The 16,484-nt window shown below is 54.8% G+C and overlaps 3 annotated features.

Moving 5' to 3' along the window:
* Nucleotides 2,621-3,121: an enhancer, noted in NCBI's record as "H3K4me1 hESC enhancer chr11:134411457-134411957 (GRCh37/hg19 assembly coordinates)". NCBI's record gives its function as "activates a minimal SCP1, AML or CMV promoter by ChIP-STARR-seq in naive H9 embryonic stem cells {active_cell/tissue: H9 hESC(naive)}" and the evidence as "EXISTENCE:reporter gene assay evidence [ECO:0000049][PMID:30033119]".
* Nucleotides 3,122-3,622: an enhancer, noted in NCBI's record as "H3K4me1 hESC enhancer chr11:134410956-134411456 (GRCh37/hg19 assembly coordinates)". NCBI's record gives its function as "activates a minimal SCP1, AML or CMV promoter by ChIP-STARR-seq in naive H9 embryonic stem cells {active_cell/tissue: H9 hESC(naive)}" and the evidence as "EXISTENCE:reporter gene assay evidence [ECO:0000049][PMID:30033119]".
* Nucleotides 7,748-8,247: an enhancer, noted in NCBI's record as "H3K4me1 hESC enhancer chr11:134406331-134406830 (GRCh37/hg19 assembly coordinates)". NCBI's record gives its function as "activates a minimal SCP1, AML or CMV promoter by ChIP-STARR-seq in primed H9 embryonic stem cells {active_cell/tissue: H9 hESC(primed)}" and the evidence as "EXISTENCE:reporter gene assay evidence [ECO:0000049][PMID:30033119]".

Raw genomic sequence — 16,484 nt, 5'->3', positions numbered from 1 at the left:
CACTCCTTACAAAAATCTAACTAATGCCTGATGATCTGAGGTGGAACAGCTTCATCCTGAAACCTTCCCCCACCACCATCCATGGAAAAAGGTCACCAAAAAGGTTGGGGACTCCTGCCATCCAGGACATGACATTACCTCTTACCATCATGTTTCCTCAGACCTCTCTTGGCTGGGACAATTTCCCAGACTTTTCTTGTTTTTGATGAGTTTTGACGAGTACGATCAGGTTATTGTGTAGAACAACCTTCCGTCGGAGTTTGTCTGGTGGTTTTGTTATGATTAGACTGTGCTCTGCATCTGTGGGAGGAAGACCCTGGAGGTAAAATGCCATTCCCGTCCCATCTCTTCAAGGGCACTTAGTGTCAGCATGACTCATCCCTGCGGATGCTGCGTTGGTCGCCTGGCCGAGGGAGTGCTTGTCAAGTTCTCCACTGCAGTTACTTTTCTCCTCTTTTCCCTTTTTCGAAGGAAGTCAGTGCTTCACAGGATTTTTCAACTCAGGATTCTCATAGAGGGCTTTCCTTCCTGTTTCTTCACAGGGAAAAGCAAACCAGGGGTCCACACACTCTCACTCACTTATTCACTCATTCAGTAACACTTACTTGATGTCCACCCAGAGCCTGACCCCCTGCGGGCCCTGGCTATCAAGTGGAGAAGGAAGCAGAGGTGGGCCTTGTCCTCAGGAAACCTGCAGTCTAGTGGGAAGATAGCCTCTAAACCAGCAATCACAGCCATCAGAGAGCCGTGAGGAGGACTGCACAGAGCAGGGGAGGGGAGAAAGGGTCCTAACTCAGATCGTGTTGAGGGAGGCAAAGCCCGTCTGAGATCCAAGGGGACAGAGGCCAAGAGCTGGCTCCCATGAGGCCCAGCATGTGCAAAGGCCCCGGGGTTGGGTGGTGGCAAGTGGCTAAGCTGTGCTGCTCTCAGCCCTCTAGTCCACCCTTGCTCATTCTTTTCATCAGACTTTGCTCTATTCAAGGTCAGAGACCATGTCTTGTCCTCTGTGTCTCTTCCTAATGCAGATTGACTGACAGAATCAGGGCAGTCATGAGGATCTGCATGGTTTGTTCAGGGGCCATCAGACACTCCACAGGCCTGAGTTTCTGCAACTCTAAAGACCTTGTGCTAAGGAAGAGGGAGGAAGTCGGAGGTCTGGCAGCAGGACAGCAAAGGTAGCCGGCAGTCAGCAAGGACGCAGGCACCTGCCCATGGACAGATGAAACAAGGCCCAGGAGCAGGGAGGATGGAAACAGGCCCAAAGATGCTTTGAGGAAAGTAGGTCAGATCTCAGATTTCTGAGCTCACTGCTCAGCCCCCTGAGAACTTGATAAAGCTGCAGTCTGCCAGAGCAAGTGCAAGCAGATGTTATGCGGATATGCTTAGCTCCCAGGCACAAAGCCCCTGCATTTGACTGGGGGCAACACCCTGGCTGGCTGTTTCTGTACCTGTAGGACTGAGCATGGTGTGAGCATGGGGGCCAGAGCACCCTTGGGAGAGGGGGAGATGGGAGAGAAGAGGAAAGGAGGACAGACTTTCCAGCAGCAGAACCTCAGGTGATGAAAGCAACTTCCCTCCTGCCGAGAGCAAAGGAGGTGTGCAGGCTGCTGGCCTGGGAAGGAGGCAGAGAGGGGACTTTCAGCAGCCAGGCCTTTTGTAACGAGCCTCAAGCTCCCCTGCCCCATTGCCCTGGGCTCCAAGCCCACTGTGGCCCTTTTGCACCCCCTTACCCTCTGACCCACAGGCCCACTCCCCACTCAGCTTCTTTGCCGGGCTGCCTCCTGCACACACACACATATGTTCGCATGCATGCACAAGCTGGGGCTCAGAAAACAGTATCCCAAAATGCAGGCCTCAGCCTTACAAGCTGTCCCATTCTCCCCAAAGGCTAGCCATACAAATTAGAATCCCTCTTTACGAAGGCAAGTCATAGAAACCAGAACCCCTTTTCGCCAATGCCAGCCATCAGACTTCTGTGTTAAAACTGGCCATAAAAAAATGACCTGACCTGCCTTGTTTGACTGTAGGTCATAAGGCCCCCATTCCAGAGAGGGCCCCGCCCTATACCCGGAAGGGCGGGATATGCTGCTCAGAGAGACCAGAAAGAATCTAGACAGACAGGCCTTGCTGGGTTCCCCACTCACTCTGTTGGCATTAGACCACGCCCTTTTTGTCCAGTCCTCTTTCTACATGACTGTCCATACTTTGCTGAACCTAAGCATGAAAATGGACAATTTTCCTGTATCTTTGGGTCTTCTTTCTGAAGGCTCTTGTGTACACACATTGGACACATTTGTGTGCCTCTTCTCCTATGAATCCATCAGCCTCATGTCAGTGATTTTTCAGGGAACATTTAAGGGGCCAAGGGAAGAACTGAGTTGGCTCCTCATGCTCACCCTGGGTGCAACCTTCACTCATTGATCCAGGCCACACTCAGGCCTCCCCACCAGACCTTCTGGATCCCACCTCTGCAGACCCACAGCCAGTGACTGCCATCCGTTGCCTGCCCACCGTGTGACGGGCCCAGCAGTATTGAGTTGGTGTGACTGTCCCAACTTCACAGTGGAAGACGCACTCTGCAAGAGGACAGGAGGGCTGCACTGTGAAGCAAGTCCATCTGGGTCCTGAATCCATGTTCCTTCTGCCACACTGTGTGGTCCCTCAATGCAGTAAGAGGAAAATGAAGGGAAAGGGCAGGTTCCTTTGGGAGAGGATAAGGGTGGGGCTAGGGTGGCTGTCTCCAGCTGTGTGGGTTACAACACAACTCCACAGTGTCTGACCAGAGCTGAGATGGGTATTCCCTGGGGTCATGCTGTCAGAGTTTGCCACAACCTTGGGAAGTCCTCGGGCTGGGACTGCCTGCCCTCAGGTCCCAGCTACACCATCCATCTGCTGTGTGGCTCAGGCAAGCCACTTAACATCTCCATGCTCAGATTCATCTGCAAAACAAGGGTGTTCTCATCACTCAGGGGACTCAGGTGAATAGAGAAGTGTGTGCTCACAGAGCACCCAATGCAGCCCCTGCTCAGGGACAGCCCCAGGTAAGCACCTGCTCCCATGGCTACTGTCACCCAGCCCTGGTCACCCAGCCCTAGAGAGCCTCCTGAGCAGCTCTCCAGGCCCAGATGGTGCCAACCCACCACGGGGCCCTCTCGGCCGAGGTGGGCAGCCCGTTCTGACTTACCCGTCTCACAACCGTCCATCCTTCCTAAATGGAACACAGCCCATCAGTGCCTTCTCCCAGGGGCCCTCCTGGCCAGGCTCCCTGCTTGTTGGGATGGGCACACATGAATAAAGAAATGAGTGCAGAGTGCATGCCCACTTTGGATTCCTCCAGCCTCACCATGATTAGGCAGATCTGGTGACTAACTAGATATGAACTCTCCTTTACAGACCGAGGAGCTGTGGGCTGGAGAGTTGACTAAGTGGCTTGATCAGAATTATACAGCGGGGAAGAGTTTAAGTGTGGCCTGCAGCCTGAGGCTGAGAGGTGGGAGGCGGTCATGCTTCAGCCTTGGAGACTAGCAGGCCTCACTGGCAGTGCTGCCTTGTGTAAGTCCCTCAACCTCAGTTTCTTCATCTGTAAACTAGGCTGATGATACCTGTCTTTGCCTATTTTATCTTGCTCTAAAGGAACACTGGAGACTGGGTAATTTACAAAGAAAAGAGGTTTATTAGGTTCTCAGTTCTGCAGGCTGTGCAAGAAGCACAGAGCCAGCACGACCAGGAGCTCACACAGACCCCTCGTAATAACTGTGCGACCTATGACGGCCACCCCCTCTTTGATGAGGCCCTCAGGGAGATTCCACTCGTGGTGGAAGGTGAAGAGGAGCTGGCTTCACATGGTGAGAGAAGGGGGAAGAGAAAAGAGGGGAGACAGTGTCGAGCTCTTTTCTTTAGTTTTTTTTTCTTTTTTTTTTTGATTTGGAGTTTTAGCTTTTGTCACCCAGGCTGGAGTGCAATGTCATGATCTCCACTCACTGCAGCCTCTGCCTCCCAGGTTCAAGTGATTCTCCTGCCTCAGCCTCCTGAGTAGCTGGGATTACAGGCCTGCACCACCACGTCCGGCTAATTTTTTGTGTTTTTAGTAGAGACGGGGTTTTGCCATGTTGATCAGGCTGCTCTCGAACTCCTGACCTCAGGTGATCCACCTGCCTCGGCCTCCCAAATTGCTGGGATTACAGGCGTGAGCCACCATGCCCAGTTAGTCAAGCTCTTTTTAACAATCTTTTTAACAATCAGTTCTCCAGAGAACTCTATTAGCAAGAACTCACTCATAACCACAGGGAGGGCACCAAGTCATTCATGAGGGATCCACCCCCATGACCCAAACACCTCCCACCACACCCCACCTCCAACATTGGGGAATCACATTTCGGCATGAGATTTGGAGGGGACAACTACTCAAGCCATCAATACTTCACAAGAGTGTTTCAAAAATCAAGCTAGGCAACGTATACGGCATACCTGACATTAAAGGGGCTCAGGAGGAGGCACCATTACTGCAGCCAATGTGGGGGATGATGGCTGGGGTCCCTGCCAACCTGAGCCCCAGCAAAGAGAATCATTTCAGGCTCCCTGTTACTCGGCCCTTCCCCACTCCCTCCTCCTCCTCCAGCAAAACTTTAATTCTGTAAGAAGCTTCCCTCCAGCAGAAGGGTTATAATTAATTTATGTTGGGACCATAATAGATTCCAATACAAACTTCGTTTCATTACATCCAACTGCACTATGACTGCTGTTTGCTGTGAGGCATAATTCCATAATTCACCGTGAAATGTGGCCCCATGCATGCTCTTCCCCAGCCACTGGAAAGGGGAGGGGAGGCACGTGGCTCTCTTCCGTGCGGCTGACAGAGGCCTTCCACTCTCACCCTCCTAGGCAGCACACACTCTTGTCACGCGGTCCTCCTTGTAATAACCGCACGACCTGTGGCACTCACCACCCTCTCTGACCCTCAGCTTTCTCATTTATAGAAATGGAACAATACAGTAATATATGCCCTGTAAATAATTTGTGAATATAAAATCAGACAGACTTTTGTAAAACACTCACCACAGTATCAGGCACTTGCCACGTGCTTCACGATAGCAACTGACAATAGCAGCTAATATTTAATGAGCACCTGCTGAGTGCCCGCACTGTGCTGGCTCCAGCCATGCTTGGGGCCACCTGGGAAGCTAGTCCTACACCCACTTCCCTGAGTGTTATAAAGAGAGGCTGTCATAACAGTGTGCTTTTTCTTTAGTAAGGCCTCCATCGGGTGGGCAGGGCTGGAAGAAGAGGCCCAGGGCCATCCTAGAAGAGGGCACTGGCACCTGAGCTCCCTGACCAGAGTCATACCTCTGTGTTGCTACCCAAGATCTTTTCAAGGAGCTGGGGCAGAGAGAGGAAAATGCTGTCTCCATCTCCCAGCCCTGGGCAGTTAACCCCTCCTCTCACTGTCAGATTGCAAGGAGCTGAGAGTAAGTGACACAAAAGTGGAGGTGGCAAATAGATTATGCCCTTAAAAGATGGGGAGGGGAGCCTTGGCTGCAGACTAAGAGGGGAGCAGGCCGAGGAAGAACGCCTGCAATGAGTTCATCAGGGCTGCTGGCCAGTGCGGAGGGTCAGAGCAGCGGAACTCCTTCCCTGAGAGCCTCGACTGCCCGTCCGTCGCCCCGGGGTTCCAGGCAGGAGCTGCTCCCCTGCTCCCAGGAGGCTCCCTTCAACTCTTCACAGATTTCTTTGTCCAGGGCTTGTTTGCACGGTCAGCCACTCCTCACACAGCCCGGCCATTGATCTTCTTCCACTGGGCATCCCTGTGATTGTCTGCAGCTCCTCGCTGCCTTTGTGCCCGAAGCATGTCCTGGCCCTGCTCCCAGCCCCCTCCCTCCAGCCTGCCTCTCCCCCTGCATCTGAGCCGTTTCTCCAGGCCTCCCCAGCGTCACATGAGAACTGTCTTCTGTCGAATAGGCACCTGCTCATCACTCATCTCAAAGGCGCCACGCTTCAAACAGCCTCCTTGATTTGCACCTCCCAACCTGCTTCTCCATGCACAGCACTAGTTTTCACCAATGTGCCCAAAATCCCAGGTGCGTCCTTGACTCCTCTCTTCCATTCACATCTGCTTTCGATCCATCAGGAAGTCGCTACTTCCTCCTCATTAAGATATCCCTGGGAAGTCGCTCTTCACCTCCTCAAGGCTGCTGGCTGCCACTGTGGCAAGGCACCGTCCTCCACTCCAGGATCCTACCACGGCCTCCTAAAGCTAAAGAGTCTCCTGCCTCCCTCTGCCCTGCCATCCCTGCTGCCTCGCCTGTTGCTTCTCTGCTACATCTTCTCAGCTTCTCAGCATACCCACCCAAGTCCGGTTTTTGAATGTAACTCAGCTCTCATTCACTCAGTGCTTAATATCCTCCAGTAGCTTCCATGACGTTCAGAATAGAATCTAAGTCAGGCCTCATGGCCCTCAAGGACCCAGGAGCTCCATCCGCTGCCTGCCTCTCCCAGTCTCTCACACTGGCCCCTTGGTAATCCTGGAGTAAGTCAAGCCAAGCCTGGGCCCTTTCTGCCCTCTGGCCACCAGACGTTTGCAGAGCTCACTGCCTTAGCTCAGTCAGATTCTGCTCAGACGGCCTCACCACGGAGATCTCCCTGTGCCCTGGGTGAAGTGGTCCCTCCACCTGCACCTTGTCACTGTAGCCCTTAATCCTGATTTATTTGCCGTCATAACACCTAAAACTATCTAATATTTTTAAATGTATTTTTTGTTTGGTTATTGCCTGTGTCCTCCAATAAAATGTCAGATTTGGGTTATAGGCTTTATAAAATCTTTAAAAAAAAAACTGTATCCTCAGAACCTATATATACAGGTTTTCAAAAAATAGGTGTTGAATGAAGGAAGGAGCAAAATAATTTGTCTACAACCAAACAGGTGAAAATGTACATCTATTTATATACACACACATGCACACATGTACCTAAACATGCACATACAAGTGGTGTGTGGGTAGGACGCCCAGCAAGAGGAAACCCAACCTCTATGCTCAGAAAGCCACGCTCCAGGAGAAAAATTTGTCACATGCTGGGAAAAGGAAGACATTAGACAAACAAATCACTCTTCAAAGAATGAGCAAAGGGACGCTGGCCAGGATCATAGAGCTGCGTATCTGAGTGTGGAGGGACTGACCTAAGCAGAACCGGGGAGGGGGAGAGGAGCTTCCTGGGCGGGAGAGGAGCTTCCTGGGTGGCCAGCAAGTCCGGCCCCGGCAGTCCGTGGAGGGAACTGCCGTCTGCCCCTGGTCAGGTTTGACCCAGAAAGAGAGCAGCACTAGGGTGGATCACCTGAGGTCGGGAGTTTGAGACCAGCCTGGCCAATATGGTGAAACCTCATCTCTACTAAAAATACAAAAAGTAGCTGGGCACGGTGGTGGGCGCCTGTAATCCCAGCTACTTGGGAGGCTGAGGCAGGAGAATCACTTGAACCCTGGAGGCAGAGGTTGCAGTGGGCTGAGATCGCGCCATTGCACTCCAGCCTGGGTGACAAGAGCAAAACTCAGTCTCAAAAAAAAGAGAAGAGACATTTTAGAAAATATTGCCATTGGGGTAATGTGCCTCTGACACATTGTAATTTAGCTTATATTCTCTATGAGAGCTTTAAAGTTGATTCATTATTTATTTTAATTGAAAAAAAAAAGAAAGAAAGAAAGAGAGCAGCACTCGGCTGCCAGTGAATGAAGGGTCAGGCAGGGAGGAAGTGGCCCCAAACCTCTGGGGATGGTGGGCTGCCATCAGGAAGTGCCTGTGGCCTCTGCACTTCCCCAGCGGAGTTGGGGATGGTGCCCCACTAAACCTGCTGGCCGGCCTTGCAGTCCAGGGTTACAGGGCAGAAGAAGGGCTAAAAGCTTAGCATTGGAAGTCCTAGATTTGCCTCTGAGCCTCACGCAAAACTAACTCGCACCTGAGTCTGTTTTACCACCGGGGAATTGGTCGCTCAGTTTGCCTGGGACCCTCACAGTGAACGTTCTCGTGCCCCCACATAATCATCCATCACACTTCTTTCACTTCCAAGAGTCTCAGCTCAGACAATAAATAATGTCGTCACTAAAAAAAGTAGCATATCCCTTACGGAGTTTCTGGGAGGACTGAACGAGAGGGTGGGTGTGACTGTACCCAGCACCGCCTTTGGCACACGAGTGCCACGGGTGCTCACAGGACATGCAAAGCCATGCTGTGCGTGGCCTGCGGAGCCCACAGCACCCTGCCCACGCTGCCTGTATCCTGGGTGCCGCTGCCCCACTGCACCTGCTCTGGGCCTGCCTTCTCCTCCCCTGCTCCCTACACCATGGCTGTCTGCGCCTGAACTGAGCAATTCGTAGCCACAGTGAAGGCTCTGCGGAGAGTGCGTCTCCTGGCCCAGGATGAATGCTCTCCTGTCCTGGCCACACAGGTAATGAACGCCCAGGGCCATCCAGGGAAACACTCCCTTATCTCACCCTGGCAAGCCTCCCTCTTCCTCTTTTTGAGAGATGGGCAGTGGGCCCATCTGGGAGCCGTGGCCACCCATCACAGAGCCTTCACCGGGAGTGATGGATGGAACTTTTTCTCTTTCCAAAGAGAAATTCCACAGGGTGAGCCTCTCCCCTAGGCTTTGCCTGCCTCCCTGTGAGGAAGCATGAACTGTGGGAGCTTGAAGGAAGCTGTTGTGCCAAAGTTTCCTTCCACAGATGAGGAAGAGTGGTTCAGAGAGGAAGGGCGGGCACAGGGCCACAGAGCTCCGGGCATAGAACGCCGAGCAGCACCCGCACCTCTTCACGCTGGGAGCTTGGTGCGAACCTGAGCAGTTGTAAGAGCAGCAGGAGGAGCACGGAGCCCAGTCGGAGTAGGAGGGAGCATTCCAGCCCTGCTCCGGAAGGGCCCCCCAGCAGCCTGCACCCCTCCATCCCATCCCCATGAGGCCCCTGTCCACACCTTGTGATGCTAGGAGCTGACCCAGTGTTCTGCCTCTACCGTGTAGCCATGCAACATACACACACATGTACGTACACACAGTGCACCCTGCGGTGTGAGAGACACACTTCGGATTTCTCAAGTGCTGTTATCTGAAATGCACTTTTAACCTGGCTCCCCTGCATGCACAAGACCTTCTCCACTCTGCCTGGAGCACAAGCAGGTGCTGCCAGGGATGTCGTTCATAGGGAACAGGGTCCAGGGTCAGGGCCTCGAGGCCTTCAAAGAGGTCCCAATAGACAAGAGCAGGCAGGGCCCCACACAGTGTGGGGAAGGGGGCCCCAAAGCTCTGGGACTGCCAGGCCTCAGGACATGGGCCAGTCTCTAGCCTAGAGCAAGGCATCTGCTAGAAACCGAGAGGGACCACCGGAGAAGGAAGGGATGTCTTGGGAGCAGGTGTCAGGAGCACAGGGTGCCTTCACCCCTCTGCTGCCTGGCTCCGGCCCCTCTGGAACAGGAGGTAGAGTGAGCAGAGCCCACAGGGAGCAGACAGCCCTGGCCCCCAGCTCAGCCATGCTGGTCCCCCACCATGGACCAATGGCAAATCATCTAACCTCTCTCAGAGCTACTCCCGTGCTCAATATTCCTGCGCAGACTGTTGTAATCTGGAGCAAATGCTGTTGCCCAGGCCCTGCGAAAGGGCCAGCTCTGAAGGTCACCATCTCCCGTCCTGCTCCTCAGCTAACCCACCCGTGCCCGTGTCTCAGAGGTGCTCAGAATATATTTGCTGTATGAATAAATTGACTCAGCCCAATAAGGGAACAATTCTTCAATTTCCGTGCTTCTGTTTTCTCCATCTGAACACTCGTGTCTTTCATTGGTCCTGCTAATTCCTCAGCCATTTTCTCACTGAGTACAGCATCTCCCCCACCCTCTTTATCATCCCACTTGCTAAGTCTCTCCTCTGTGTCTTCGAACTTCTCTGTTGTATTCCTTTTATTTTTATTTTTTAGAGATGGGATTTCACTCTGTCACCCAGGCTGGAGTGCAGTGGCATGATCATGGCTCACCATAGCCCTGAATTCCTGGACTCACGTGATCCTCCCGTCTCAGCCTCCCAAGTAGCTGAGACCACAGATGCCTGCCATCACACCCAGCTAATTTTTTTAAAATTTTAATTTTGTGGGCAGATGGGGTCTCGCTCTGTCTGAGAGTTAGGCTGGTCTCGAACTCCTGGCCTCAAGGATCCTCCAGCCTCAGCCTCCGAAAGTGCTAAGATTACAGGTGTGAGCTACTGCACCCAGCCTTCTGTTGTATTTCTCATCTCGTCTCCCCATGCCACAGCCTGGGTGATGTCCTCTAACCAATCTCCTCTTCACTTGTGATTTTCTTCACTGTATTTCACGAGCTGTTGAACTCACCTGTTCAGGGTTTCATTTTAGCGTTACCCATGCTATTTTCAGAGGTCCATTTTTTCAAACCTCCCTGTTCTTGTATCATAATGTCTTGTTCCCCCTTTAGGGTTTGTGCTCCTCTCAGCTCCTTAATAACCATCATTATTACTCTTCCATTGTGCCTCATTACCCTCAGCGCTTAGAGTCCGATACTCCTGCTTCTTGGGCTGCTGAGCTGAGTTCATAAAGAAACACATGGGGTCCTGCTCAAGCTGTATTGTGAGCTGGTAATCATCAAGACTTTCTTCTCAACATAACTCCTACAAGACCTAAGTGTTTTGTTGATTTATTCGCAGCACCTTGAGGTATCCCAGGCCTGAGACTGATTCGTAAGATCATTCTCTGCTTGGAACTTCTGGCCCCACCTGGAAAGTGTCAGCTCCAGCTCCAAAGCAGCTCACAACAGAGGCTCAGGACACCCCTTTCTCACCGGAGAGTTTCTCCCACCAGAATCCCAGGCGGAGCTGTGCCATCCTGCTGTATCCTGGGGATTCCCTTTCCATTTCCTTCCCTGAGGAGACTCAAGCCCTCCCGTCCCATCCCTGCATGATAAGAGTCCAAAGCTTTCACACATGCTCACGCATACACAAACATGTGCACGTATGTATGCACACACACTCATGCACAGGCACGCAGACACACATGTGTGCACACACGGTCACTGAGCATTTTCTCCTGCTCCCACAGTGCTGGCTCTTAGTGACTTTTTACTGCTGGCATCTGGGGTTTTGAAATTCTTTCTTGTGTCTTCACCTGTACATGTAAAGCATGTGTGTAAGGTCATCTATTCAACAAATCTGTAAGCTTGTTTGGGGAAAGACCCGGCCCTTGCCCCATGGGCCCTGGGGCTGGCACCAGAAGTCACACTGTGTTCTATGGGTGCAATGTGCTCTGTGTCCCTTTCAGCTGCCCACAGAGCAGGGCTTTGGCTCCCCAGGGTCTCCCAGGCCTCTTTGTTGCCATCTGATGGTCATTGAGGGGACACGAGCCCAGATCTCCCACTGTGTAGGAAGAGAATGGAGACAGGGTACACAGGGCCAGCTTGGCACAACTGTCACTTAGAACATTGGCCCTTGGGCACCCCCCACTCTCCCTGCAGCCTGAACCCCTGATCCCAGCATCAGGCCCTGGCATCCAGGGTGGTTGGCAGCCAGTCCACGACACACAGCCAAACAAAAGCAGCATGGCGGCGCACTTCGGCCCCTGCCTGGGAAACAGAGTGTGCATGCCCTCCCGGGCCGGAACCTGAGCCGACTCTGCCCGGTTACACCCTGGCCTTCAGACAGGGTCTCCTGCTGACCCTCCCCGACCTGTGGGCTGGCCCGGTGCCCTGCACGGCTGCTATCTGCCAGCCCCAAGCCTGGGGAGGATGTGCCCGCAGCGCTCGGGGCCTCCGGGCCAGCCCCTGTGCCCACAGCAGCAGCCCCTCACGGCTCTGCAGTGCAGCAGAATGGAACGTGCTTCCCAGGCAGAGCCGGTGCAGGGTCCCAGGCGGCCAAACAAGCCCCGAGAGCACTGGGCCCAAGCCACCCTCCTCCCAGGCGGCAGGAGGACTGCACAGGCCCTGCGAAAGGGCCAGCTTGGAAGGTCACCATCTCCCGTCCTGCCCCTCAGCTAATGCACCCATACCCAGGGGCAGCCCAGCCTTGCCTGGGGGAAGGGTGCCCCCTCGGCCCTGACCGCAGAGGAGCAAGCCTTGCACCCTGACTTTCTGCCCCATGGCCCACCGTGAAAATACCCTGAGAGGCACGGGGACAGTGCTCGGTTCCTCCTACACCCAACTGTTTAGAGGAGGTCTGGGCAGAGGAGAGAAGTGGGAGATGAGTGCACTCTGCTAGCCCGAGTGGTCCCTGAGACAGCCTGGAGCTGATCTGCTGATTAGCTGGATTAGCTGGAGCTAATCCGCTAATCCGCTCCCCTGCACCCAGCCTCAGCCCGGCCCTCCAGCACATGCCAGCCTGCTGGCTTGGCACACACAACCCATGTCCATCGCTTGTTCCAAAGGAGAGGAGAAAGGCCCCCCTGCCTTCCTAATTCCTCACTCCCTCCTCCCTTCCTTCCGCTGCCTCTGAGTTCATTCACCCATGGTTCATTTATTCATCAACTCTGCGAAGCCCTCTCCATGCCAGGAGAGGCCCTGGACCCTCAGGAAACAATGAGAGGTCACAGGCCTGCTTTGAAAAGCTGCAGTTCAGGAGAGAGCCAGGCACGTAAACAGACATTCCCACGGATTTGTCCTAAATGTCCCCAAAAGAAGCCCATGGGCAGGAGCCGCCAGCCAGTCTGGGAGGGGCCACCTGAGCTGGGCCTGCAGCGGTCAGGGGTGTCAGCACAGGAGGGCAGGAAGAGGGTCCGGCAGACCTGGGAGACTGGGACAGACAGTGCCGGTCACCGAGGAGGGGCTCAGGGGTGTGGACTCTCACAGCAGCCGAGGAGGGTGTACTTGGTCCCGGGAGCAATGGGGGCCAGAGAAGGGCCCTGAGTGAGGCCGCTGTAGGCGTCAGATGGGTCTTGCTGAGTGAGGCCGCTGTAGGCGTCAGATGGGTCTTGCTGAGTGAGGCCGCTGTAGGCGTCAGATGGGACTTAGCAAGGCCACTCCCCCGCAGGTGGCTGCACTGGAGGTGGGGGGCTGCAGAGGCCATGGCCTTAATCTTGGGGGTGCAGTGAGGGCCAGGACACAGGCAGAGGCTGTAGGGAAGGAAACCAGAGGGTGAGCTGAGGTCACAGAGCAGCAGAATCCAGGACCTGGCAGCCCGGGGATGTGGGGGAGAGGGAGGAGGTGAGGACGGCCCTTGGGACATGGCCAGCACTTGGTGATGGACAGCAGGAGAGGCCCAGGAAAGGCTCTTCCATGCAGCAGCGAGGCCTCTGCATGCTTCCACGCAGACCAACCCAGGCCTGCTCCCCAAGCTGGGCGCCCTCCAGCCCCCCGCCAGACCCGTGTGAGGCCAGGGCAGGACCAGGCAGGCTCTCGGCAGAGAGGATCCTCTGCAGCACCCTGGAAGGGAGGAGGGATGCAGGAGGAAAGCTCATCCATTATTAATTCCTCCTGGAGACTCTGGGGCCTCCGAAGCCAATTGCATTATTTAAAACTGGCTTAAATTTGGCCCAGAACAGAGAGCTTCATCTCTCGTTGACGGCCTCCCCCTTTCCAAGGCGGCATCCTCAGGAGAGATGCTGAGCTTCCAGTGAAGAGTCAGGCCTGCACCTCTGCTGCACAGCTTGTGCACCACCACGCACACCACATCACATCCCCTGCCCGGCTGCCAGATGCGCCCAGCCATTCAGCCCTCCTTCAGCCTCGGGGCTCACAAACAGAGTATAGGACATGCATTTCCAGTGGCCTTCGGGCAGAAATCCAAGGGATCTGAGTTTCTCTGGTTGACCACCCTAAGTTAGACAGTCCTGCCACTGTCATGGGCGTCACTGGGCAGAGGGACTGGACCGTCCCCTAGAAGCAGCAGCTCGGGTAGCTGCATCCTAAGAGGACTGAGGTCTCAGCCTGGGGAAGAAGGAAGGACAGAGCCAGGAACTGGTTGCTATGGAGATTTGTTCCCCAGCAAGGGGAGTAGTTGGGGCTAACCTTGAAGGATTTCACCATGAGAAAGAGGAAAACAGACACAGATACATACATGCGATGTGAAATCTGACCTTTCCCTGGGAGGCTGGGGAGGAGAGACCTGCCAGAATAGACACTATGCGGACGGGGAGGGAAGAGGGGAAGACAGTGGCGGTGGGGGAGGAGGGTGGGGAACGGAGGAGGGTGGGGGAGGAGGGTGGGGAACGGAGGAGGGTGGGGAACGGAGGAGGGTGGGGGAGGAGGGTGGGGAACGGAGGAGGGTGGGGGAGGAGGGTGGGGAACGGAGGAGGGTGGGGGAGGAGGGTGGGGAACGGAGGAGGGTGGGGGAGGAGGGTGGGGAACAGAGGAGGGTGGGGGAGGAGGGTGGGGAACGGAGGAGGGTGGGGAACGGAGGAGGGTGGGGAACGGAGGAGGGTGGGGAACGGAGGAGGGTGGGGAACGGAGGAGGGTGGGGAACGGAGGAGGGTGGGGAACGGAGGAGGGTGGGGGAGGAGGGTGGGGAACGGAGGAGGGTGGGGACCAAGCAGACCACACTCACTGAGTCCCTGGCGTGTGCCACTCACTGATATCAAAGCCAAGTGTGTTTATCCCATTTGGCCCTCACCTAAGCCCTGTGAAGAAGGTGCCTCTAGTCCCACTTTACAGATGAAGACACTGAGACCTTGCGGGACTTGCCCAGAGCCTCAGATCAGCCAACGCTGGGGCTGGAATCCAGGTTTCTCTGACTCTGAAACTCCTATTCATCCTCCTCCTGCGGGATCCTGCAGAACCACCCCCTGAGCCGGTCAGCTCTCTGGGAGGCAGAGGCTCCAGGCCCGCCCAACAAGCCGAGCAGACGAGACTCCTCATTCACGTGGTGCTGCTGCCCAGACCCCCACAGCCCTCCACCATCTGTGAGACGGTGCTCCCAGCCAGCATGGAGGTCTTGGGCTCTGGTCCCCACCCACATCCACAAGACATCTCCCATTCCCCACCCCGCCTCTCCACGGGCGTGCACGGCCCTGCCCCAGGGGTCTCCCCTCTCACCTGCCCTCAGCCCTAGGCTGGCTGCCCCTCTGCAGACCTCTCCTTCTTTTCGAAAGCCTCTCCCAAGTCCACCTCCAGGATCTGTCCCTGAGCTCTGTAGCTACTCTGGCTCTGCGGGAGAGCTCCGTGTGCGTGTTCACCTCTTTTCTGAGAATTCCTGCTAAGGACTCAGAGTAAGGAGGGCCGGGTGCTCACATCCGCAGGACCAGAGGAAGCCGCTGGTAGGACAGGGCTCTGCACAGTGGGGTGGTGAGCGGAGGGCAGGCCAGCCTCGGAAGAATCCAGGCAGCAGCTGCTGTGAGCTGAGGGCCTTTCCAGCCCGAGAGCCACTGCATCAGCAGCGGCTAACTTGGCCCAGGACTGCCTGCAAGGCAGGAGCTACAGACTCTGGGCCGTGTGGGCTTTGTCTTACTTGGTTTCTGCATCCTAGTTGAAACATTTAAGGCAATCTATGCCCACAGAGTATCGGGACAATGATAAGTAATCAGCGCTATTTTTCTAGATAAAAGATGAACTGCCCTGGGATCCCCAAGGCCTGGAGTCTCAGAGGCACCAGAGCTGTCCCAGAGGCCTTGTTGCTCTCATCAAAGCCTTTGTGTCATCCACAGAGTTCAGTTCTCACCTGGGCTCAGCGCTTGAGATCTGGAAACTTGTGTTTCAAGGGACAGAAGCAAGCTACAGTGTGGCCGTAAGTTCCGAAAGCACAGGTAACGGTAGGTAGTAAATGGCTTTGATATTACAGCACAAGATAGACTGGATGGTGACACAGGCTATGCTCTAGGTGTTTTCTTGCATTCACGATGTGTAGTACAGGGCGCAGCGCAGAATTGCAAGGAGCACGTTGCAACCTGGTGAACCTCCCCAACACCACTGCACGTGCATCTGTGAGACATTGCCACATACGATTCGGGTCACCTCTTTTCAAAAATATATTTGTGCCTATACCATTCCAGAAGAAATCCTCAAGGGGGTTAAGAACTGGGGGCATCCAGCCTCCTCTACCCTGCCACTACCCAATCCAGGCTGGGACTTCTCCATCCTCCAGCCGCCCGCAGTCTCTGGCCCCTCTGCTGTGGTGTGTGGCCCTCAGACTTGAGCAGAGACATCCTGAGCGGCCTCTCCCTAGCCTGTCCAGTGCAGGGGAGTAGTGACGGGCCACTAAACATGGCCACATAAAGGAATAGACAGCTATGTTTCTGCAACTAACGGCCACATCACAGCTCAGTCCAAGGGGGAATTGATTTACTTAGTATCAAGTTGTAGAAAGGGAAAGGCCAGAAGGGTAGATGCGGCCTCAGCGGGGGCTGCATGCAAGGCTTGATTCAGATCTCTCTCCCCATCTCTCTCCCTCTTCCTCCCTGTCTCTTCCTGTCTGTCTCCCTCTCTCTGTCTCTGTCTCTCTCTCACACACACACACACACACAGCTTCTTGCTCCCTGTGGGCCAGCTGTTGTCCCTGCGAGGCTGCACCCTGGCAGCACATCCTCACACAC

The sequence above is a fragment of the Homo sapiens genome, chromosome 11 (assembly GCF_000001405.40).
Source record: "Homo sapiens chromosome 11, GRCh38.p14 Primary Assembly".
Lineage (NCBI taxonomy): Eukaryota > Metazoa > Chordata > Mammalia > Primates > Hominidae > Homo > Homo sapiens.
This window is presented reverse-complemented; position numbering and strand designations above follow the sequence as displayed.